Here is a 26,021-nt window from a genome sequence, read left to right as displayed (position 1 = left end):
ATGCTATTCCTCTTCTCAATACCAGTTCAGCATTCTCCTCCAGAGATCTGGTGTCTCACACTGCCTTTTGTGCTGTAAAAGCCAAGCCAAATGAGAGGCATTTAAATTATTTCTGTTGCCTAGGAAAGAGAAATATTATCCACAGTAACAAAATCATCAAATTTTATTATGCACAAGTTAGTGCTATATATTTAGGAGTTTTGCTTTAGAGGATATAATTTAGAAAAATGGGACAGCTTTTCATTGGCTTGGAAGTTTCTATTGTCAAAACATATTACCAGGAAAGTACAATACATTGTAAAATTATAAGGAACTGCAATTCAGTCCTATTTTGACTTTATTTATAAAAAAAACAAATTAATAGCAAATGAATAAAACTTTTAAACCATTATCCGGGTAATAATACTAAACAAAACAACTAATAAAACAGCCGCATTCAAACAGCTGTTTAAGGAAGCCCAATGATATTTCATCCATTGTCAAACTTGGCATTTGAGCAGAATAAAGACCAAAGTAAATATTTATTGATTCATGTGAGAATACTGAAAATTTCTCTTTTATAAGTAGAATAAGCAAATAAACCATGATTTATAAAAACCCTGGCTAACTAAAATCAGCTAATGGGTCTATTCAAAAAATTCTTATCATGTAAACTGTGAACTGACAATTATAATTGAAAATTACCAGTTTCTCTATGAATTTAATATACATATAGTTAACCACCTGCTTGACTGTTATACAGAGCCATTTAAACGTGCAAATGGACGTACAAATGTTTGAAGTCTTTTGAACCAAACACATTAATTGCCAGTCTGTGTTAATGGAAACACACAGAATGGATGCCTGCCTCTCTCTGTAATAAATATAAAAATTCCCTGGGCTTCCGAGTCTCCATACTAAGCACACATGGAGGCTTTTTATAGGAAAAGCTCATTTAGAGATTGAACCCCTCAACCCCAACCAAATAGGTAATAAGGAGACAGGAAACATTGTATTGGCCAGATTGACTACAAGCAGACTGCATTCCTCACACTGTTCTGTCCAAGTGGGAGTCCGCAGCCCAGATGGCTACAGAATTGGCAGTGAGAAGTGAGGCAAAGTTCAAAGCAAGCCCAGGGGCACATTTAGTGCCCAGTTTGCTCCCTGTTGATACCTGGGCAGGTGACCTTGTGCTTTTCCTTAATGGCCTGGGGACCCCCATTATGACTTCCCCTGGACCTGTCCTCACCATGCAGTGATCCACAGCTAAGATGCTCTTCCTCCTTAGCAAGATATATCAGCCCCCTGTCCTCTGGCCCGCAGGCCCTGGGTGTTTCAAATAGAAACACAAGGATGGCCTGGGGTGCTCCTCTGCCCAGCCCCCCACTCAGCAGGGGCCACTCAGCAGGGGCCATCAGCTGTCCGAGCTAGGGGCCTCTCTGAGGGCAGGTGGTAGGTCCCTCCTGCAGTCACTTTTCCATGACTCTCTGGCCATTGGGGTGTAGATGGAGGGGGCCCCAGCTTGACTCTGAGCCAGGGCTCAGTGATGTATGTTGATGCCTGGAAAACAGCTGGGGGCCTGTGGGGTCTCAGAAGACCCATCCTAAGGTAAGAGGATGCCAGGGAAGCTAAGCTTGGCTCAATTCCAGAGCTTTAGTGTTCAGAAGGGAGGTGAGACTCTGGATCACCTGATTTTTGTCAGCAGCCCAGTCCTAAGATTGTACATCTGAGTCTTACCCAGAGGAAAATCTGCAAAGGAAAAGGTGAAAACAGCAGTTTCTCTAAAAACAAGGTAATAGGGTGGGGCACAGGAAGCTGTTTTTTTGTGGGGAGCCTCTACAAAACAAAATATAAAATCGACCGGGTGCTGTGGCTCACTCCTGTAACCCCAACGCTTTGGGAGGCTGAGGCCAGTGGATCACTTGAGGCCAGGAGTTCAAAACCAGCCTGGCCAACATGGTGTAACCCTGTCTGTACTAAAAAAAAAAAAAAAAAAAAAAAAATCAGCCAGGCGTGCTGGTGCATGCCTGTAATCCCAGCTACTCAGGGAGGCTGAGGCATGAGAATTGCTTGAACCCGGGAGGCAAAGGTTGCAGTGAGTCAAGATCACACCATTGCACTTCAGCCTGGGCGACAGAGAGAGACTCTGTCTTAAAAAATAAAAATAAAACAAAATATAAAATGAAAAAAATCATTCTTCTTCACTTTCCCCAAATCAATCCTAGCCTGGGATTGTGAAGACTTCAGTGCATTAGAGGTGATGCTAAGGAGTAGCGGAGATTGACTTATTCCTGGAGACTTTTAGGAAATTCTTGGGAGTAGAAGATGGACTTGGCGAGAAGCTGAGATTTTTCAAGATCAAGTTGGGGTAAGAATTAGCAACATGGGGATCTTGTTTTTAATGAACCCAATTCACCTCCACAGGCTGACGATGCCTGGGAACACCCAGACAAGGCGAAGCATGAGTTCAGTATTACCTGTCAGATGTGTTTCTCACCTCCCTGTCGGATGTGTTTCTCGCCTCTGCTGCTGTCTTTCACCTCTGCTTTGCCTGGTTCCATCAGTGCCACACCCAGCCCGGCCTTCAGCTTTACTCTGCAGGGTTGTTTCTGAATGAGCTTTAGGTATTATCAAAAATATTATCCTTTAACCTCAAAGGATAAAGACTCTTCCCTAGTGAAGATATAAGAAGACGAAGCCACAGGTTCTGAGGGCCATTTCGAGAGTGCTCTGGGCATCCTTTGAGCACATTCGCGTCACCTTCCTTTGCAGTTACTCCTCATATGATGAGCATACCACCCGGTCCTGGGATTAGACAGGGAGAAGGGCCCGCTTTCACAGGCCCCAGGCCACTGTTGACAGAGCCGCAGGAAGAAGAAAGAGACCCAGGTCTCTTGGGAAATCAGGTCCTCATTTATTTGTAGGCGAGAGAGATAGAGAGAGAGAGAGAGAGAGCAGAAAATCAAAGACAGCCTGAGAAACATGTCTGTAGCCTCTGACCATGGACACTTTTCCACAGAATACAAGTCCTGAAAAAAATGGTGTGCAAATCATCTGTGGTCTGGTGACCTCTAATCCAGAGCCAGGCCTTGGTCCCTGGCAGCCCCTGTGGGCAGGCCCAGGGCAGGCTGGGCCTCCGCACAGAATGGGGAAGGAGAGGGCACTAGAACTGGGGGAGATGGGAACTGAACCAGCTGTACTGCTGGTCTCTGTGGGGGATGCCATCCAAGTGCCAATGGCCAAAGGGGCCTGAGGTTTCTGGCCCCATCCCAATGTCCTTGTTCGTTTCTGGGAAGACACTCTGCATGGGGACTGTTTAGTGACAGCAGGAGGAATTTAGTGCTAGAAGGCAGCAGGTGAGGGAAGCTTCTTGGAGGACGACAGCTGGTGTCTGTGGATGTGGGGAGCTGGGTTGCCCCAGTAGAAAGAACGAGGGGAAGGTGGTCAACCAAACCCCTTTACCTGGAATTTAGGGGTCCTGGGATGGGGGCTTTCAATGCTAAACCTGGGGAAACCCTGGGCAAACCAGGACAAGCTGGTCCTCTGGGGAAGGCCAAGGAATAGCTGTGGAGGGCATCAGGGCCCTGGCTGGGCAAGAAGAGAGGTGCCAACATCAGCATTGTTTAGGTCTTAAGTCATAAAGCTCCTTCACAAAAATCAGATGCAAAGAAAACCCCAATCCTCCCTCCTTTAACACACACGCACACATACGGGCACACAAACCTACAAAAAAGACAATTTCCTCTTAGTGAGCTTATCTAATGTATACAGCCCTCATTTCTGCTGATAGCAGCCATTTCTGATTTATTCCTTGCTGTAAGAAATTTCTTATACCTTCCTTCCCCTGGGGTTCCTGGTGTTGGAATTGAAGCTTTGGGTCTCCACTAAGTGGGTTGATGTGGAAAGGGCTTCTTCCCAGTACAGGCCCAGTCTTCTGTGTGGGTCATCCAGCCCAGGGGAGGCAATGGGTGAGCAAGGCAAATGCTCAAGTGTCCAGGCTTAGACCAGACTTGGGGCAAGATGACACATTCCAGCTCTCTCCAGCAGCTGCCATGGAGTCTGTGAAGGTACTGTTTATCTTGGAGCCAGTCAGGCATTGCTAAAGTTCAAAGACCCAGTGTCCCTGGCTGGCCAAGGCTAGAGAAAGGAGGTTAACATGTGGGTTTCCTGGCTTCCACCAATGTATTTCTCCACAGGAGACTTCCCTGTTGTGTTCAGTAGCAAGTCTGAGACCATTAGAAGTCTCCCTATTCAACGTAGATACTGTTTTAAACATCTTCCCATTAGCAAAGGGAATTATTTTTGTTTTGTTCTTAGGAGGATAATTCTGGTTGTCTTAAAACGGCTTTACGTAAAATGAGATTAATTTTCTTAAAAGCACCGCCTTTATCTGAAGTAATGCTGCCACTCTCAGAGGAACAGCTGTTGGTGTTTGCAGCCATACATGTTTGAGATAAGTTATCTTTTGACATCATGACCAAGCTTTTTTGTTATGTCAGATGAGATAAAAGTAAGTATTTGCTGCTAAAGTTTCCCCTGATAAGCAGTATTCCACTTTTATATAAGAGGGCCAGATGGTTGAATTAAGGATGAAATAACACATACAGAAATTTGCTTTTAAATCCACCTCTGTACACAGAGGTTCTCTTAAGAGAGGTTTACCAGGAATCTTTGGCTTTGTCCTCTCCTAATGATACAGAAGCTAGAAAGAAATTATTTAGGCAGTTAGTGAGGGTAAGAGAGTCTTTGTCAAGGTTTTGTTTTTAAGAAAAAGCAGCCCCCAAATAATGTCTTTTCTAACAAAGAGCAGCCTGAAAAATCAAGCTGCTGACATAGAAAAGCAAGCTAGGAGCTTGCATGGGTGAATGCTGGCAGCTGTGCCAATGGGAAAAGGCTACCTGGGGGCCAGGCATGTTCAACATGGAGGCTCCATCATCCCTTTTCTTTGTCAACCACATGTACAGTAAAGAAGCAGGTAACATGGTGCTGGCCAGGTAGAGAATCCAGCTGCATAATAGAAGATTATGGTGGGCCGGCCATCTTCTTGCACTATGCAAATGACACACCTGGTCTGACCAATCTCTCATACCCTATGTAAATCAGACACCGCCTCCTCAAGCTCCTGTATAAAATCCCGTGCATTTCACCACGGAACCGGAAGACCTGCCCGTTTCTCTTTCTTTCACCTATTAAATCTCTGCTCTTAACCTCACTCCTTGTGTATCTGTGTCCTTGATTTCCTTGGCGTGAGGCAACAAACCTCAGGTATTATCCCAGATGAACGATGCCACTTCACTAAGGAAGATAAAGGAAACTAGAGACTAAGCTCAATATCACACTCCTCCCATGTGTATGCATACTTACATATACTTCTTTGTTTTAGTTTACGCAGGAGAAAGAAGTTAGGAAAGTGTTTAGGTTCCTAAACTGTTTTTCCATAACCTGAGCTTTGTCGGAAGTATTAGAACAGATCTGTAGCAAAACTCAGAAACAGTGAACCCTCAGTGCAGTTTCTCAGATGTGCTCACATGTGAGCCTAGATCCATCTTATACCTTGCTATTCCAGTTTAATAGTAGGGTATCGAATCTGGCTTCCTGTGCTGCAGTGATTTAGAAGATGTATGAAATAGGGAATTGTTTTGTTGGACTCTTCCTTATTCCTTATCTGTTTACCACCCACCAATACAGCAACTACTAAAAATAAAGCTAGAGCTCCGTGTTCTTCTAGTAGTGAGATGACTCAGTGTTGATAATGTGCCCTCTCTTGATTCCCAGGTGTATAAACAATGACATTTTTGATGAGTTTTCTTGCCCAAGGGGTGAAATCTCCAGCCAATAAACAGAGCATCTGTGAGTGCATGTCAGCGTGCACATGCGTGCATGCCTTGTGTTTCCGTGTGTGTGCATTTGTGTGCTGTGTTTTGGGTGCAGCACACCAACATGGCACATATATACATATGTAACAAACCTGCACGTTGTGCACATGTACCCTAGAATTTAAAGTATAATTAAAAAAAAAGAAGCTAGTTAACTGTAGACAATAAATCTTTAGATGTTACTGAATCAACTCAATCAACCAGTTCCAGCAAGTCCAAATATTTGCAGTGGTAGCAAATATGAATAAGCGATCACATATAGAACACTTGCCGTGTGGACAATCAGATGGATTCTGTCATCTAAAATTTAAAAAGCAAAATAAAAAAATACCACGGAAACCGTCATGTTATGGGAAAGTGACTGCATATTTGTAAAGAACACAGTCAATACTAGATGTGTGAGCTGTAAGTAATGTAATCATTATTATTTTGGTCTGGAACATTTTATGTCCTTTAGTCATTAAAATAAGGACCTATGAGGCTGGGGCAGCATGGAGAAATGACTATTATACCATGCAGTGACTTTTTTTAAAAAAGAAAAAACATAAACTTAGGGCATCTATTTCCCCCCCATTTTCTCATTTAATTACAATTCCCTGATACCTTTCTACTAGACTCGTACTGTTTGGGGGCAAACTAGTAAGAAGCTTGGGGCAAAAGACTTCTCTTCCAATAAATTCCTGTGGAAGTAGGAACCTATTATCTGTTTGTTCGTTTTGTAACGGAGCTTACATTCTTACCTGAAAGAGACACAGCTCTGGAGGTAAAGGGTGTGGAGGAGAGGAAGAAATAACAGTGTGTGTGCACATGCGTGTGTGTGCACGTATGTGGCAGGTGTTTGCAAACACGAGGGAGGCACCTATGCTTCCCTTGTTTCCAGTGGGAGAAGCTGCCTAAAGCGTGTCTCTTCCTGTTCAGGAAGACGTCTTGGTTCTCTGAAAATTTGTCAGGGATGGTGAAATCTCCATCAATGAACACAGAAAGCTCCACCAAAGAGACAGTTCATGGCGAATTCAGTTATAGTGACATTCTAGAAGTTGACACTGGTCAACCCTTTCTATCCATCTCCACCCCATCTCGGTGTCTTTCTTTTGCTGCTGCTGCTCATCACCAACAAACTCATGTCTGGTTTTTGGGAAATATTAGTGTGTAATGGCTTCTATAAAATAAGAGCTCTCCTTTCTAGAAAAATTTAATAGTCTTAGAAAATAAGCCCATGTTTTATAGTATTGTTTCATTAGGAATAAACACATATATTGTAGTTAAAAATTTTCTCAGCTTCCGAGTGGTCTTTCCATTTCATCAGATATTAAGAAGTGGGAGTATGAACGAAGGAATTAAAGAAGAAACAGAAAAGAAGAGAAAAAAATCACAAAATTTAATACTCAAACACACCAGGCAACTGTAGTCTCTTTCCTGGATAATTTATGTTAAAATTCATCAGACTCAGAAGCCGATATGATAAATAGCCCAATATAGTTTCTCCTTGTTGTCTAATTTCATCACAGGTCTATCTGGCTCATTTATAATGCAATCTCTTTCTATTTAAAGGCAAAATACTTCAAGTATTTGACAAGCTAAACATTAGCCCTAAAAATTTGTATCAATCTGCATTTACATATTTTGTACATAAAAAGTTCTCAAACTCAAAATCAAAATATTTACAAAGGTATCATGTGCTTATCGATGTCACACATTTTCTTTGCAAGGTGCATAATGAAAATTTCAGAAGTAGTCGATTCTGTTTCTTTTAAAATGTCTCCATTAAAATACAAATAAACAAACTATTGATGCATGGCGCAATTTGCATGGATCTTAAGAGATGTTCTGCTGAGTAAAAAACTGCCAGTCTCAAAAGGTACATACTGAATGATTCCATTTTTCTAGCATTCTCAAAATGACAAAATTACTGAGATGAAAAACGGGTGGGAAGGCTGGGGTGAGGGAAGGAAATGGAGAGGAGGATGGGGTGACTATAAAGGGACAACCTAAGGGAGTTTCTTTGCGGTGATGGAGCAGTTCTGTGTCTTGGTGGTGGTGACGATACGCCTTTCTACAGGAGGTAAAATGTCATGGAGCTATACACAAAAACATACACAAGAAAAATGACTGCATGCAAAGGCTGGCAAAATCCAAGTAAGGTCTAAGCTCTAGCTAAATTGTATTCTCAATGTCCTGGTTTTGCTAATGTACTGTAGTTATTGCAGAAGACCAGGTGATGAGTACACAAGACTTCCTTGTACTATTATTGTAACTTCTTGAGAGTCTGTAATTATTTCATTATATAAATGTAGAAACATAAATCTCTGTTGAAGAAAAGATTCTGGCAACTAAACACACTTGGAAGCAATTTAGTCAAAGACTGGTGTCCTTTCGGGAGGCAGCGCTCTTAAGTGTAAACACTGAAGACTCTTGATTTAGCCTATGCTTAGTATCCAGGTAACCAGGTCTGCAACTCTTAGGCTGTGTAACTGAAAACAATTAGTTGTTCCCATTACTTGTATGAAGATTATAGAATCAGGAAATTTCAGAGCAAGCAGGGACCACGCTCTCAGGTTACAACTCTCTGTTTTGGCATCCTGATTTGTAATGTGAGGGCTTTGTCCTAGTTTCTTTGCAGTGTCTTGCCTAGTTCTAAATTTCATACTACACATAAACTACAGAAATTGTAATGGTAATCAAAAATTTTTCCTCAGTATCGCATAAGACAGATATTTCAACTTACGTTGATTATAAATGTGGATACAGAAAGAACCTATTTATTATGTAACACCATCTACTAGAAATAACTGAAGAGCAAACCAACTGGACTAATTCTTACTCCTTAGTTCAGGTGGTAGTTTTCCAGGCAGAGGGTCTGGGCGGTTTCCTTGAAATGACATACCATCACATCCTCCTTGTATAAAGTATAGTGCTCATATCTACTGGAGTGTTTGCGTAGAAAGGGGTGGCATACTTAGGTCAGTGTGTCCCAGGAAGAGTCCCTTGACTACCCATGAGACCTGCTAAATCGATCCTGGGGAGATTCTGGACAATCACACACTCAAACTCAGGAGGCTTTAAAGAGTAATCCTTATCATTTGGGAATAAATGATGATATGCTTTTTTAACCAATATAGCTTTAGTTTCCTCACTTGTCTCAGCTACTTTTCTTCATGGAATGCTAACACTGGACTACCTTGGGAACCGGAGCCCACTGTAAAAACAAAGTCAGGTTCTAGGGCTGTTCCTCCCTCATGATAACACACCTAGAGAAAAGGATTTCAACTGCAGCAACATTTGTTTTTTTGGCATTGAGTTCCCTTAAGTCTATAATAATTTATATTTGAAAAAAAAAACTAGCACCTCATAGCATTAGTGTAATAATTTTATTAATAAAACGAACCCATAGGGTTCAAACAAGCATACAAAGTAATTTTTTTTCCTGTGGGTTAAATTGTTACATTTTTAATAATAAAAATAAGAAAGCTTTCATAGTTAACTTACCAAAAACATAACGCTTGCCTATTGTTTCTTACTGTGCAAAACAAAAACAAAGTTTTGCCCACAGAAGGATTTTGTGCACCAAAACATGCACATTTTCAATTTCAAAATTTCTGCATCAAAATGAAAATTCCAAGGCCACGTTTTTGTTTTTTCAAACTAAAGAAGAGCAAGAGGGGAATAACCAAGCAAATAACAGCAGCTACATTTTTAATCTTCATTCCCAGGTATTTTCTGTTTCAATGTAGAATTCTCCACATTCATAAAATGATATCTTCAACCTACTGCTTACAGTCAGATATGCCAGTATCATTTCAATAAGGCAAGTCACACCTTTTAGCTATTCTCTTAAGTCCTACAGAGATAGTTTCACTTCAATTTCACAGGGACACTTCATGATTTATCTAATAAAGGTGATAAGACAATCCTAGTGAAGGATTCCTTTAAGTTGTTGCTTTTCTAGATGGAACCAAATAATTAAACTTTCTCTTCTCCATACTGGAGTTTGTTTCTTTCATTATGTTTTAGTATCATGGAGTCGAACAATGCCTTGGCAGGGCATGAACTATATAACTCAGAAGTCAATAAACAGTTGAAGATGATCTTTTCTAAAGTAAAAATCAACTGTTTAGACAACACTTAAATACACATTACCTGTTTAAAGACACACACACGAAAGCAAAATTTAAAAACCAAATCAAGGAATAACGTTTTGTGACAATTTCAGTAGCACAATTACTGGTCTAACAGTTTTGCATTGTGGGAATTTAAATAGCGGCTTACAATGAAAGAACTATGCACGATGCTTCCAGGATTGCAGAGGAGAGAGGTAAGCCCAGAGGATGAAAAGCATACATTTGCCTAATGTGTGTAGAAAATTCCCTGATCAAATGGCCAACTAACTTTTAAATACAAAATTTAACCTTAGAAGAACTTTTCTATTTTTGGTGAACATGCTGATTGAAAGAAAAATCAATCATTCTGTTAAATGAAGTACAGTATTCTGCAGGGGAAGCACCAGGGTTTCTGGATCAAACCCTTAGGACATGAAGAAAACCAAAGTACTCTGCTGGTTCAAAATCTGTATCACAGGAATCCCTGGCTCCCTTCCATGTGTCCAGAGATGCTCTCAGCTCACAAAACCAACAGATGGAAGGAAAAGCAAGTGAACATGTGACCATGTGGGAGGGGGGCTGGGGACGGTAAAACACTGCTCAGACTTTCAGCAGCAACACAATCCTGTTGGTCTGAATATCCTGAGGTTAAATGATAATAAAATATTGCACCAACACAATAAAGAAAATCACAGTTTAAACAGAATTACTGAAGAACTGGAATAATGTACAATGCAGTGACTGCCATCAGTAGACCTAGGTCTCTTGACAGGAATTAAAGTTGTGTCTTTTCTAAAAATGGCACTCCTACCTTCTTTTGGTTTGGTGTTTATTTTGACATTCTCTTAGGTATACATATATTTACTTCCATTTAACGCTAACTTACTGAATTTTCCCCTTGGCCCAGTTTCATATTTAGTGATAGATGAGACTGTGGCTGTAAACAGCAGCAACTCCCAAGAAGAGTACTCAGGGCGAGAGATTTAAAAACATATCTGATAACCCCATTAGAGGTAGGTTAGAAAAAGGCCTTTTATTTGGGACTGTGTAGTTATCAAGGCATCCTGCAGATGCAACCTTTTCTCTCCCTTCTTTCTCTTACATGCTCCTAGGTAAATAAGATATGAGGAAAATCAAACGTATATCCTGTTAAAGCACTTAAAGGGGGTAAAAAGTACAGCCCTCAACAAAACGTGTTTTCACATTGAAATTCATCTTTCCTCTTTGAACCGACAAGCTTTTCAAGAAACCCTTTCTTGGTTTCATAATACCGTACTGCCGATTTATAAACTATATTTTAGTCTACCCTTGAAAGAATGAAAACTGTAGTACTTCATTAGGACCTCATATGACCATGATCTCAAGAAAAGATGCTTTTTCAATGTCTTTAGGCCTGAATATGGTAGGAAATCATGAAGCACCCAAAGACTCAGGATCTCACTTCGTATTTGGAGTGGGCCATTCTCCTATGCACACACACCCTTGTTTTGTTGCCCTCTCCAAAATCAAGTCTTCACCCCTTCAGTTCATATCGCCTTCGTTCCACTCTTCACCATGGGAAACTCCCACAGTGTTTCCACTGTTTACAGATTCCTTTCTCTCACGTCAGCGCAGGCACCCTTTCACTTACTCTGTAACCATCAGGACTTCCATTACATTCTGTGACTTTGCACATCTTCATCCCAGTTTTTAACAGGGATATATATACGACCATCATATAAACTTGTGCGGCAATCCTGCCGGCCCACCAGAACTTTCTCACATTCTTTAATTTCTATTGCCTTCAGTCTTGACGTTCATTTATGTTTTCAAGTGAATCTTTCCTGTCTCTTTCCCAAAAAGGCAGAAGGAAAAGAACCAACATTCTAATTTGATGATGAACACAGTGATTTCTGAAATACGTTCAGAGAATGAAGGAAACAGGCTGGCTCTCTTCTACGTCGCTAGGATGTGGGTCAACCTGCAAAAAAAGAGCGGACTGAGATTAGTGTTGTAGCATTATTTAAAACGATTCTAGTACCTATTTGTAATTATATGATGGTTATATGCCAAGCTGGTCAGAGCCTGTGTAAGTCCCAGAAGGTGCTTAAGTTCTCTATATTCCATGGCCAAATAACACACCTTAAAGGCAATCCACAATACTGTATCTGATGCCATAGATCACAAGGACAATAGTAAAAAAATCTGGCAAATGAATCAGCGATAATCTATTACCACTGTATAAACAAATTTAAATGTATCCCTTACTAATTATGAGTCAGCAACAGACACTCTAATGAACGGATGACAAAAAATGATTATTTGAAAATAATACAGTAAAAGTCTAATTTTCTTTTGCTTTGCTTACCTCTGAATAAAGAGGTGGGGGTTGAAACCGGAATTCTTGTATACAGGCAAACACAGGACAGCACACTTCTCCCTCACAGTTAGGGGGTTGAGGGTAAGGAGGAATGTGTCTAGAGAATTCTTCCTCTGATACCACATCTGCATAATTTGGTGGTGCTGAAATAGAAATGAAGTTGGAGTTAAGAAATCCACTCAAAAATTAATCTCGATTCTTAACTGCTACAAAAACAAGAAACAGCTAAACTTGAAGATAAAAAATATGGCATTCTTTCCCTCTAATCAGCAAGGTTTTATGCATATTACAATAAAAAATAGATTCTCCTTTTATTAAACTACTACTAATAGCTTCTATTCTAGTCTCTTGAGATATAGGTAAACAAATATCACTGAAATATGACTATAGAAAAGACATAACACACCATACATTTGACTGTTTTTCATTGTTTTCCTATTACAAATAGGAATTAGGAAATGTACATCTTATTCCTGAATCTGCTATCAGCAGCTTTGCGTCCTAGATAAAGCTAAACTTTCAAAGTCCCTCCCAGGACTAATGCTTTCTGATTTTTTAGTAGTAGGAATAAAGATACCTATAGTAGCAGTACTCATCAACATCTGAGCACTTAATAGTGTATATATTCTGTTCCTAGGTATTTTCTAGGTAAAGCTTCGTTATGAAAGAACGCCAACATATTTTACCTTCAGGCTGCTCTGGCAGGGTCAGTGTCAACCAGCTCATATCCATACTGAACTGGCTGGCAATGCTGGAGTTTCTGCTGCCAAAACCATTATATGGAATTGTACCGATCACTAATGGCAGTTCGAGCATCAATTTTTTAGCACCAGGAATGTGAATGTATACCTAATAAGCCAAAAAAAAAAAAAAAAGAGAAAGGAACAAATGTAAGCTACACCTCCAGTAGGTAGCCCAATTAATTTCTTTTTTTCATAGAAACAAATGCTTTTGTCGGCTGCCACCACCCCCATCACAATTCTCAATTGTCTTGATTAAACAAAATGAAGAGTACACAAAACATAGTGAATGCTCTGTGACAGAGAACTGTGTCCTTAACATGCATCATTGTAGGTTTGCATGGCTTATATAATAATTATAGAAAATTAAGGCTATGTCTTCAATATAACAAACACCCCTTAATGCACCTCAATTCTTTTATGGCATTCTATTAAATCCCCTGTGGGGAATAGGTTTTATTAAAAACAAGGGCCAATCTTCATACAGTCCCCAATTGGTGTTAATGCTGAAATAAAATGACATTTTTATAGGCAACTCTACATACCCACAGTAACATGACATCAGTTATTGTCCATCATACACATTTTTTTTTAAAAAAGAGCTTTGCTTACAGCTAAGGAATAGTCCACTCTGATAATGCAGCAATCCAGGATGGATGGAGTAACAGGTGGGATTTTTAGCGTTTTCCCATTCCATGTGTCTGTGCTCCCAGAAGCGATGTGGTTTCCTCGCACATTGGCGACCATGTGTCGAATGGTCTTTGTTTTTCCACTAGCCAAATATGTCTGCGTTTGGAAAATAGCAGCCTTTGGAACAATCAGACGAGAGGAACAATTTTCTATTTCTGCATAGATTGGAATAGCTTCTCCTAAAAAGAAAACAAAACCAGGGAGGATTCAGAGACTCTTGAAAAAGTTCTCACCACAATGGATTAGGGCCGTATAGCTGAAATGTTCCAACATCACTTTAACAAATTGAGAAGCTTTGATGGAAAACATATTGTAAATTCAAGCCAGAGAAATAAAAATTCACTGCAGGTTGTGGTAGATCTTATTTTCTAATTATTGCATTATTGACTTTTCTAAAGTAGCAATATTGCATTAGCAATTCTAAAGATATGTAAATGACCAGTGTCTATATAAATTAGGATAAGACATACAAATAAATGATTCAGGACTATGTTAAGTATAAAAGATCACTAACAAACTCATTAGTGCTTATCAAATTAAAATCTGCCTAACAGGAGAACAAAGCCTTTGCTTTTAAGGAATTAATAATGTTAAGGCACAGAAAGAATCAACGGATGGATTAGGCAAGTTTTATAACATTATGGCTGCACATCATACCATTCCATACTGAATTCCTTTCTAACAAGTCAGAATCCTGGAGCAGGGGCCAAATCCACTGCTGGAAATGGGCCCTTCACTAATGGCAATTCCAGTAACAATCTGATTGTTAAGTTTGTTAATACACTACATTCCAGTCCCATGCATTTGCATATATCAAGCCAGCATGGAATCAGAATGTCTAATAGCATTTCATACTCCAGTAGTTCTCTTTTTAGCAATACAACCCTGGAGATTCTTTTGCAACATTAAAATCAGATGCTGGCATTTTCTCATTCCTCTAGTTATACTCTTTGTTACTAAAGTAACAGGATTGAAGTCAGAAAAAAAACAGGAGTTTGACTGGAAACAATTCCTCCTTTTAAAAATACTTAAATATCAATTATTTATATAAAAAATGTATCACTATTCATGTTTTAAAATACTATACACGTCATATAATTACAAAAAACACTATTTAAAATCACTTAAAATTAGCTAAGAAAATGAATGAAATCTTTCATTTGGACTTTCAAGCATTTTGCTTACCATTACAGTATCCCTTTCTTTCAATTTTGGCACTCAGCGAGACTGGACCAGAAGTGAAAAACCAACAGCCAACCATTTTCTCTTGAGTTTTCAATACAGGGGTCTTGAAAATTTCAAACAATAAAACAACCTTAATTAAGCCACTCTAGAGAACTCATAGAACTTAAAATTATATCTATCTTCACAGAATGGTTGTAAGGAAATACCAAAAAAATGAATCAAACTTTCTTATCCTCATGTAACATATTAGGCCAAATATGCACAAAAACACAGGGTGTTAAGACTCCCCTTTTAGGAAAACTACAGTGAATTTTCAGATTCAAAAATTAGCATGACACCATCTTATTTTACCCTGAAGTCATTATGTTTCCAGGAAATAATATACCATTTTTTTAAAAAAAAATCAAAAGCTGTATTAGGACTTATAAACATGACAGAATTATTTTTAAGACTTTATATATAAAAGTCAGGTGGAAGGATAAATGATATAAAAATAAAAAATAATCAGAACATTATATTTATTTTGGCATTTAATAAAGTGGAATAAACAAACAGCCTTTTCCCACCACTTACTTCAAAATGCATTATCAAGCAGAAATTTCATGTGTTCTTAATTTGGAGTGGTTTTGGGGTTTTGTGTAATAGTGCAATAACATGTGTAGTGTTAACCGATCTGAAAAGCTTATTAAACATACCCTCTCACTGCAGTATTCTATTCTATAGTGGCAAGAGAAGTTACTACAAGATTTACAATGTTCAGTTTACGAGTTACACACACCAAAGCTTTCTGTAAAACCCAGTTACTTGCAATATTTTTTTTTTATTTATATAAAGAATCGTAAGGGATCAACAGTGTCTGTTTTTGGCAAAGACAAATCCCTTTAAATCAATTCCCACAATGGTCATAAAAACTTTAAAAATATTCAGCCTCCCAATTCTAAGTAGTTTTTAAAAATACAAGCTACTTGGCATCACCAATTTTTCAAAAATGGTTTTCAAGCGGCTGTTAAAGTCCCAGCTATAAGCCAGGCCAGCTGGGTGCCGGCTGTTTTATGATTCTGACCACAAGAGGCCATGGAACCACAGCATATCTGCTATCTTTTCATAATCTAAAGGTGAACATTAAATTCTATTTCTTTCTCATGCGAAAATAAGACTTAAACAACAACTTCTAACTGCTAGCTTTTTCCTTGTCTTTAAAAACACAGGCTAGAAAAACCTCCAACATGAAAAATACATCTTTGTCACATCAGTATCGTGATGGAAAGTTTAAATTATCTCAGTATTTTCTATGAAGTAAAAAAAATCATTCATTCATATTTAAATGAAGAACCATTAGGTCCTAGTAGCTATCATGAAAGTACAAGGTATAATTTTATATTATTTTGATAATATGGGTTTAGATAAAAGAATCTAGCTCATTAGCTCCCATCTTGCCTATTCTGTTGTTACTTATAGCCTGATCTTTCTTATCAGTCTACAGTATTTCTGGTGATTATTAGAAGTTCAATGCTTTAATGTGGCCAAATCTGTCATAAGGAAATGATAAGTGAAAGGATCTCGGCGGCAGCTGCATGCACTTACTTAATGTTAGAAAATGACATGCAAAATGGAAGGATACATAGCATAATGGCCTGAGCTTCAATAACAGGCTGAGCATGATTAATACTCTTCCATAATTACTGTTCCTCAACCTGCTATTATTGAGGAGTTTAGAATACCCCAGTCCTGTAAATGTGGCCACTCTGGTAAAAGTAACTACTCTCTGTGTGTGCATTATTGTTATTAAGCCTTATTAATGCATTTCAAGCCTGTGTAACTTTTTGGCAAAAGAAGCCCTGAACAGCAGGGACATAATCAATAGTATTAACACACACAATTTGTAATTTGTCCAACCTAGAATCATATATTTATAGTGAATGCCTTTGGGTTACAAGATTGTGTTTTCCAAGCCATCAGAAAGTGACAGGACAGACTACCAGTAAACTGGCTAAATATAGATCCCACTGTTGAAAGGAAGGAGGAAGGGAGGGAAGGAGGAAAAGGAGGAGGAAGAGAAAAAGGAAGAACTTACTAATAATGCTGGTGTGTTGACATCGACATGACTAACAACCTGGAGTTCCCGCTTTACACTCTGATCAGGTACCTTGGGTCGTTCCAACACTGCCCGCACACAGTACTGAATGCTTCCATATTTCCCAGTAAACGAGGTGACCAAAGGTCTGAAACCAACCAAAGACATTAATTATGAGTTTACTTTTCAGTTAAACAAAGCCAAAAAAAGCATGGTTTAAAATGTTTTAGGTTGGAAATAAAAAAAGAGTAAGTCTATTTAGGGACTATTCAGTGTAAACATGCATACTTGAGAATCAGAAGAGACCTAGCAGTGATAAACTTGAATGGACATACTGCAGAGAAGGATAACCACAAAATTGTAGTGTTTCACTTACTCAGATGGAAGTTGAAAGCGAAATGGAAATTCATGTTTTCCAGGCTGTAATAAAATGATGCCTTCACCTATAAGAGATTGTATTTTATTTTAATGAAGGATAGTTAGTATTAGATCAAGAGTTTTCACAATGTAAATAATTTTTTGAAGGAAGTTTTTCTCGCTACAAAATGCAGCATACTCCAAAAGTTCATTAAACAAATGTAGAGAATTAAGTTTGAAGGGGGGTGTGTGTGCGTGTGTCTATGTGTTTTAGAGACAGGGTCTCGCTCTATTGCCCAGGCCAGAGTGCTACGGCCTTGAACTCCTGGGCTCAAGCAATCTTCCTGCCTCAGACTCCCAAGGAGCTGGGACTATATGCATGTGCCATGGTTCTTGACTAATTTTTAATAATTCTTTCCAGAGACGAGGGTCTTGCTATATTGCCCAAGCTGGTCTCGAACTCCTGGCCTCAAACGATTCTCCCACCTTGGACTCCCAAAGCACTAAGCTTATAGGGGTGAGCTACTGCACTTGGCCAGTTTTTACCAAGTACCATAACACTCACACATACATACACACATATATTCCATTCTCAAATAGACCAATTACTAAAGTGCTAAGGTTCAGAACTCCAACATACATATATATGTGTATATGGATATGTATATGTGTGTGTGTGTGTGTGTGTATGTAAAAATCACAACTGCTTACCCCCATTCTATTATACTAACGGGAAATACCAATATTAAATTGGACCAAAAACTAATTTAGCAAAAGACAGATTTATTTTGGGTATACCAGAAACATCACACTGAGTATTCTTTGAGCAGAAATGGAAAAGGGAGTGAAAACTTTATGAATATCATTAATACTGGGTATAACACAAAACAGCCAAACCCACAAGACAAGCTATTAAGCAAGTCATGTATGTATCCTTGAGCTCTCCTGACTAACACAGAGTTTCTTGGTGGCTAACTTGGAATACAGAAAGGGCTTTACCAAGCATGGCCAGGGCCCTTTTCTCAGCTTTGGGTTACCAGCTCCATTTTATTTCAGGCAGAAGCTTATCACTAGATTGTGAGAAGGCCAAAATGCAGGGTGTGGAGGGACTTTGTAAGGCCAGAGGCACCACTGAAACCTCTGATGAAGGCACCAAGACAATCTGTTTAATTCAGATCCAAAGTAGACTTCATGGCTTTCACGGTTGGTCAGGAGGCTCTCTTGAGAGACTTATACACTGTCCTTTCATTTCATGCTCAGATTTAATATTGAATTCCCTTATTGTGGATAGGATAAATAAGATGAAGAAATCGGAACACAGAGACAGAACTCTGAGATTTGCCTGGTCATCTGACACTAAAATGAAGATTTCTACTTTATCCATTCACTAAAAAAAAAAATTTAAAGAAATCAGTAGTGAAATGGGAATTTTTTATCCCTTAAATAAAAAAATAGAGTTTTATTTTATGACCTTAACCAAGTCAGCTGACATTTCAACTTCGTACTTTTAGAAAATAGGAACACATTACTGACCTATTAGGTCTTCTGAATCTATCCCCAATTTTTAATGTGTTAACATCAAGGGGGATAAAAAAGTGACACACCTGCCACTTAAGTCAATTTGAATACTCCACAGTTGGGTGACTGGAGGCAAAGTGAAGAACAAGTCACAGGGGCATGAGATCATGTTAAATTCAGTGGCAGGGCGGGTCCCAGTGGCTGACGTGTGCTCAGGAAGGTAGCAGCAGAGCAGGGACCAGGGAAGCATCTCGACCTGACAGCTGTGGAGTGAAAGGCTCAAGGCAATCCCAGTGCTCCTAAAAGAGCTGGGCTAAAGTTCTAATTTGAAATTACTAGATTACAGAACATGACGAAGTATTTACAAATGTTTTGAAATGTGTATTTCATTTGAGTTTAAAATGTGTAGTGCTTAGATTTCAGGCACCGCAGATAATCCTCAAAGAGACCGGGGGAGGAAAGGAGATTACATGCTTGTACACAAGCAATGACCATGGAGTGCTAGAACCTAGAGCACCCACATAGGAACATGGGTGGGCCCGACATCTTCAGGACCTGAGGGCTGGAATGGAGACAGATAGGAAGGGAAATTTAGATAAGGGAATAGCATGAGGAAGAGCATGGCAGGCATTTGTGGGGAACACAGTTGCCCAGGATACTGAAGAGAATGAGAGACATGAAGTTCCCCTTTCATTAAGCAACAAATCGACATCGGATCTATATCATTTAAAATGAGACTTTCAACTATCTCAAAACATAAACAGGAAAAAGAAATGGAAAAACTGATAAAAATGGGTTATAATATTTGGAATTCAATCTTTGTTTTCTTTTCCTCTTTCTCAAGTTTTGTTTTTAATGTAAAAGGTTCACAAGCTGAACCATGTGCCCATTTCTGCTTCTGCACCAACCGCTCATTATTTCTGTCTTGTATACTGAGCACTACAAAGTCACAGGAAGATGTTTCAATCACTAATGGCCTTACAGCCAAAGCTCATAATTAAAGGTTTTGATGAGCCGTGGGATGCAGAAGACCATTACAGAGGCAGAGACTGGGGCTCAGGAAGGGTGAGGGACTTGCATAAGGTCACACTGCTGGTGGGTGACCAAGAACTGAGACCAACTCTCTGATTCTGGCTTGTTTTCTACTACAGTTTCTCAATAAAAATATGAAGAAAATCAATCACAATGACAGCAAGTAGTTGAATTAGATTAAGGATGTCAAAGAATTATCTGGAGAGCATTTGTGAAAACAGATCCCAGTGCTACATAATATGGATTTCTAAAAATCTCCTTAGGTGATTGAAACACAGCCAGGTTTTGTAATTAAATTACCCCCAGAATCTAGACTGTGTAAAGATGCTAAGTTCTTCCAAGCTATAGATATTAGGGGTGACTTATTTTTTTTCCCCAACTAAAAGAGACTATGATTTTAAGCAAAATGTAATTGTGCCAATATGTGCTATGATACATTCTAAAACAAGTTTAAGATTTTCAAATTGTCTAGTTTTTACATTCTGTTCCACATGTGTATATATGTGTGTGTGTGACGAATAAACATCTGACTTGTGAATTAAAAAAAATGTTAGCCCAGATTTTACCAAAGCAGTTTTTTATTGCTAATCCCAGGTTCAACTGCTTTTAATTTTACATCTATTGACTCAGCAGTTATAGGCCCAGAGATACAGTCCAAAGTCCTGGACAAAAATCAATGTATGTCTCACTCCCAAGGTCCTTGACTCCATTCGGCCATCTTGCAAATTGTATTGTCTGCTTCCACTGGGGCCTGGGTTGATCCTGGAAGCCATACTGAGGAAAGTGCATGAAGGAGTAAGAACTATCACTAACACACTGTTCCCATTGATCCAAAAGGCAGTTTTGGTTCCAAATATAGTTTTCCTCACTACAATTTTGGGATGACTCAGATGATCACTTACCTCGAGGAGTTCACTGTGTCCACAGTAGGATAGGGCAAAACCACATATTCTATTATATTTTGTATAAGACATAGCACATAGATATAATGCGTTTACTCTTCAAGGAGAGGAGGTGCATACCATTGTTTTATTTGATAGATAAAAGCTCATGGCAAAAACGTAAAAGTTTAAACTAGTTTCCATCCATGAAATGAGTAAGACTCATGGTTCTTAGTATTTTCGTGACTAAAGGGATCCAATTTTGGTATCTAATATTAATGAAACGCTCATGTAGTGTGTCCCCACATGGGTACTTCTGGAAAAGTCTACACTGTGAACTGGACTTCACCAAAGTGAGCAGGAAGGGAAATCCCGACACGCCCTGATGCTCTTGTCTCTAAAGGCATTTTGAGTGGAGAGAAGTGGGGGAGAGGGGAAGAAGCGGGTAGGAGGGGAGGAGGAGGATGGGGAGGAAGAGGATGCGGAGGAAACAGCAGCAGTATCAGGTAGAGGTACAACTCTTACTAAGTTGCCCTGCTCCCCAGAAGAGGGAAACCAAGCATGATGATCAAGTCTGGAAAACACTTCCTTTGAACTCCTACCCCTCAGAAACTACTTCCCTATTCCCCAAACCAAATTTCTGCTAATTCATCATGAACCAAGAACGTATGCAGGATAGGGAGGAGTGGAGGCCATAGGACACGGGCACCGCAGAATGGAACCTCATAGCCGCCGGTTCCACCGTCCCTTTCTTGGACCAGAAGGAACAGGACCTAGATTTCTGGATCCCCCATTGTCCAATCACAGGTTCCCACCGCACCCAATGGCCCCCTCCCGTCGCGGTCCTAGAAAATCCCGAGCCACTGGTCCCGGTCAGGCCCGGCGGGCCAGGGGCGGGGCGCCAGGAAGAGCTGCGCACCCAGGACTTGCGGTCTCTCCTTACCCGCGAGGGTAGGCCGGACCCCACCCCCGGAAGCCCGCCCTGATCTCACCTGCCAGGTGGGCATCCCGAGGGTGCGCGGCCTCCCAGCCCCTCCCCGGCCCCGCAGCCTGGCGGGGGAACCCCAGGCGCTCGCCTGCGCTTACCGGCCGGGGGCTCCCGCAGGCTGAGGCGCACGTTCAGGTACTCCACCTCCGAGAAGACAGCCAGGGCCGCGGTGCTGGCCGAGGCGCGGGGGCAGGTGCTCGGGCCCCAGGCGGCGGTGGCGCGCCCCTGGGCCTCCAGGCGCAGCGCGCGCAGGGCCACCGGCTCGGACGCCTCCAGCAGCACGTGCCCGGCCACTGTCTCGCCGCTGGAATAGCAGCCCTTGCGCTCGTCCTCGAACACCAGACCCAGGCTCTTCACGCGGCCCTCGGCACCCACGGCCGCCGCGCACCCAGCCTCCCCGCCCATCCCGCCGGGCGACTCTTTCCTGCCCCTGAGGTCGGCAGAGGCCCGGAGCCGGGGTCGCGAGCACAGCGGCGCCGCTGTCACAGGCGCTCGCGGCAGGGTAAGGCCGCCGCGGCAGCCGTGCGGTACCCGATGGGGCACCGGCTCGCCGAGAGGCCTGTCGCTTTAACAAACCCAGTTGGGCCTGGAAAAGGGCCGGGACAGCCCACCCCCGGCGGGCGGCCATTGGTCAGCTGCGAGCCCTGCTTCTTGCTGATTTGTTGTAGATGGTCACTGAGTCATTTCATTGGCGCTCCCACGCGTGGGTGGGCGCAGGAAGGCCGTGCGTGATCAGGGAGTGTTGGCCAATCGGGAGGCTCCGGCGTGCACGTGCACAGGCCGTTTACTGGCTGAGGCCAGGCACAGTCCTGGAGCCCTGGCCAATAGTGAGGCGGTGCGCCCATGTGGACAGACAGTGGGAAACAGTATCTGTCAGGGAGGGGGCGGAACAGGGTTATCTCCGGCTCTCAGCGTGTCAGCCGTTCCCATAGTTACGAACGGGGGCGGGGTTTCTAGCAGCGTAAGGACTTTGCAGGAGCCACTGGGTTCTCGCTAAAGCATGAAGTTGTGGCTGTAACTGGCTTGTGTTTATGATTACATCTGCAATACTCGAGGGGAAATAGATGCTCTGGGAAACGGAACTCGGCAATATTTCCTTTTGAGATCTTGGGGGCCGGCCGCATCGGGACTTTAATGAATGACTTGGAATCTTCTAACCTCCAGGTTTTTGATCACCGCCTCTCCCAGGTTTCAGAATTCCCAGCCCATGTAAGAGCCATAGATAAGAAAAATGAGGGTTGTGGTTTTAAACCTGATACATCCCCTAAGGAGTTCTCCTCCTAAGCTCCGCAGTGTCGCTGTTAGGAATAGCTGGAACTCTGATTCTTCCTGCTGTAAATAAGATCATGAATCACATTGTTTTTGAACAACATCTGTCACTCAAGTTTCTGCCCCACCCGAAAGTTTCCTGACATCATTGTCATATCCACAGAAATTTCCAATTGCCTTGATGACTTGTTCCTCACGCCCAAGTTTCCTCCGGCTTGTCCTGCTACATTTTCCTTTTCAACCTTCCATTTTTTCTCTGTTCTGTTTTTTACCATCTTGCATAGCTGTCATTAGCTGGTCATCATTTTCTTAACTTTTAAGTTGTCCCCTTATCGACATGCCACGTTTGTGAGCTGTTATGTATTGATTAATCTCACAATGAAATTTAGCAATTTTCCTAAAAAAAAAACCTCAAAGTAAAGGTTGCTCTACTACCCTCGTTGAGTTTAGATTATTAATGTGGAGATTTAGTAAAGTTTTATAAGTTCAAAATTTCCTTATTACCTCTCAGAGAAAGTGGAAAAGTCACAAATTAGGCTCTGTGTAAAGTTCAGAAATAGTTGCTATTCTCTGACCATTTCGTCTAGAATAGCTCCCTACATGATCTTACTCTGCCTACTTTTTTTTTTATATAACACAACGTGACCTTACGTGTTTATCTATGTATTATCCATCCCACTCATTTGAAACACAGAACTTGTTCTCATTCGTTTTTTGACCTCTAGGGCCTAACACAGATCTTAGCATACAGTAAGTGCTCAATAAATGTTGAGTGATTGAATGATGTATCCTAACCGTGTAGTAGTATTGGCTCTGCAATACATGAATAGTGTTCTGCCTCTTACTCTACTAAACTTTCACTGTCTCCAGGCAATGGTTCCCTCCAAATTAAGTGGCTGGGAGAGGGAGAAAAGGACAATGGTCCTAACGGTAATGAAAGGACAAAATGGCAGGTTTTGCATTCTGTACTGGGAAAGACCAGACTCTCTGTTTTCATTTCAGTTAAGAACAGTTTTGGCCAGCCAGGCATGGTGGCTCACACCTGTAATACCAGCATTTCGGGAGGCCGAGGCGGGCAGATCACAAGGTCAAGAGATCGAGACCATCCTGGCCAACATGGTGAAACCCCGTTTCTACTAAAAATACAAAAATTAGCTGGGTGTGGTGGCTCGCACCTGTAGTCGCAACTACTCGGGAGGCTGAGGCAGGAGAATCTCTTGAACCCGGGAGGCGGAGGTTTTCAGTGAGCCGAGATTGTGCCACTGCACTCCAGCCTGGGTAAGAGAGCGAGACTCCATCTCAAAACAACAACAACAAACAATAGTTTTGGCTACAGGTAACAACAGACTGTGTGACCAACACACATTCTGCCTTTAAAAATATTTCTTGTTTACTAGACGAAAAGGTCAGTAGTAGAGTATGGGCCCTTCAGATTGATTCATCAGAATCCTTTTATCTTTCTCTTTGACATACTCTGCTCCCTTCATCGTAGTAGGGATTACCACAGCTCTAAGTGTCTCCTTGTCTTCCTTACACCACAGAGTTCAACACATAAAGCAAGGGAGGGTCTGCAAGCAAACAAAAATTCTCTTTTCTCTCAGAAAGAAGATATATTTATATCCCAGATGCCCCCAACAGACTTCTTACATGTCATTGGCCAAAACTGAGTCATATGTACACCTATAGATTATTGACTGGCAAAAATAAGTAGGATTTTTACAATTCACTTAGACCAGTCATTCTTCTCTGGGTGCTGGACACAATCAGAGCTCTGTTAACAAGGAAGAGGGGCAAATGGCTGTTGAGCAGTCAACATTGTAGAGCCATTTGAGTGGCTTAAGTGGGTCTGGCCAAATTTGCTATAGCGTAGAGCTGCCCCAGCCAGACATAAAGAGGATATTTAAATAAAAAATATTCTATAACTAGAGAGAAGTTAATTTATATGGTGACTCAACTCATTCACAGATAAAATTCCATTTTTGTTGTGTATACATTACAATGAATATTCGAGTTCAGCTACTATTAATATAGCAGCATATGACAGTTTAAAAAATCCAATCTGACAATGTCTTTTAATTGGCATGTTTACCATCTGCATGTAATGTGATCTTTAACAACGTAACAACGTTGGTGCTATAACTTGCATCCCCAAAATTCAGATGCTGGAATCCTAACGCCCAAGATGATGGTATTAGGAGGTAGGGGCTTTGGGGAGGTGATTAGGCCGTGAATGCCAGGGCCCTCATGAGTGGGACTAGTGCCCTTACAAAAGAGTCCCGAGAGAGAACTCTCGCTCCTTCCACCGTGTGAGGATGTAGAAGGCACCATCTATGAAGACGCAGGCTGCTATGGCTTAGATATGGTTCGTCCACACCAAAACTCATATTGAGATTTGATGCCCAATGTGGCAGTGTTGGGAGGTGGAACCTAGTGGAAGGTGTTTGGGTCATTGGAGTTGATCCCTCATGAATAGCTTAACACCCTCTGGCAAGAGTGAGTGAGTTCTTGCTCTCATGGGACTGGATTGGTTCTCACTCGAGCAGGTTGGTAAAAAGAGTGTCGTCCATTTCTCTCTCTTGCTTCTTCTCTCCCCATGTGATCTCTTTGTGCACGTCTGCTCCCCTTCTGCTTTTTGTGGTGAGTGGAAGTGGCCTGAATTCCTTACCACATGCAGCTGCCCAATCTTAAACTTTTTGGCCACCAGAATCATGAGTTACATTAACCTCTTTTTTTTTTTTTTTTTGATATATTACCTAGCCTCAGGTATTCTGTTTCTTTAGCAACACTAAATAGACTAAGAGCCTGGGCATGGTGGCTCATGCCTATAATCTCAGCACACTGGGAGGCCAAGGTAGGCAGAAAGCTTGAGATTAGGAGTTGGAGACCAGCATGGGCAATATGACAAAACCCTGTCTCTATAAAAGATATAAAAATTAGCTGGGCATGGTGGCATGTGCCTGTAGTCCCAGCCACTTG

General features: G+C 41.1%; 1 protein-coding gene across 1 annotated transcript, besides 1 other annotated feature; it reads right to left on the bottom strand.

Annotated features, from left to right (window-relative positions):
* Window positions 1–9,209: 9,209 nt before the first annotated feature.
* ARRDC4 (arrestin domain containing 4) lies at window positions 9,210–22,340 on the bottom strand. Its single transcript, NM_183376.3, has 8 exons — window positions 21,875–22,340; window positions 17,377–17,443; window positions 17,001–17,148; window positions 14,927–15,029; window positions 13,664–13,920; window positions 12,998–13,160; window positions 12,300–12,454; window positions 9,210–11,912 (listed from the first exon to the last, which is right to left on the bottom strand). Exons 1-8 carry the CDS (start codon window positions 22,179–22,181, stop codon window positions 11,856–11,858), a joined length of 1,257 nt encoding a protein of 418 aa, NP_899232.2. The 5' UTR covers window positions 22,182–22,340; the 3' UTR covers window positions 9,210–11,855.
* Window positions 11,432–12,631: an enhancer, noted in NCBI's record as "MED14-independent group 3 enhancer chr15:98513642-98514841 (GRCh37/hg19 assembly coordinates)". NCBI's record gives its function as "activates an origin of replication core promoter dependent on BRD2, BRD4, P300/CBP and CDK7 cofactors, and independent of MED14, by STARR-seq in HCT116 cells {active_cell/tissue: HCT116}" and the evidence as "EXISTENCE:reporter gene assay evidence [ECO:0000049][PMID:35650434]".
* Window positions 22,341–26,021: the final 3,681 nt, after the last annotated feature.

This window comes from Homo sapiens, chromosome 15, assembly GCF_000001405.40.
Source record: "Homo sapiens chromosome 15, GRCh38.p14 Primary Assembly".
NCBI classification, from domain to species: domain Eukaryota; kingdom Metazoa; phylum Chordata; class Mammalia; order Primates; family Hominidae; genus Homo; species Homo sapiens.
Note: the sequence above shows the minus strand (reverse complement) of the source record. Positions and strands in the feature narration are given on the sequence as shown.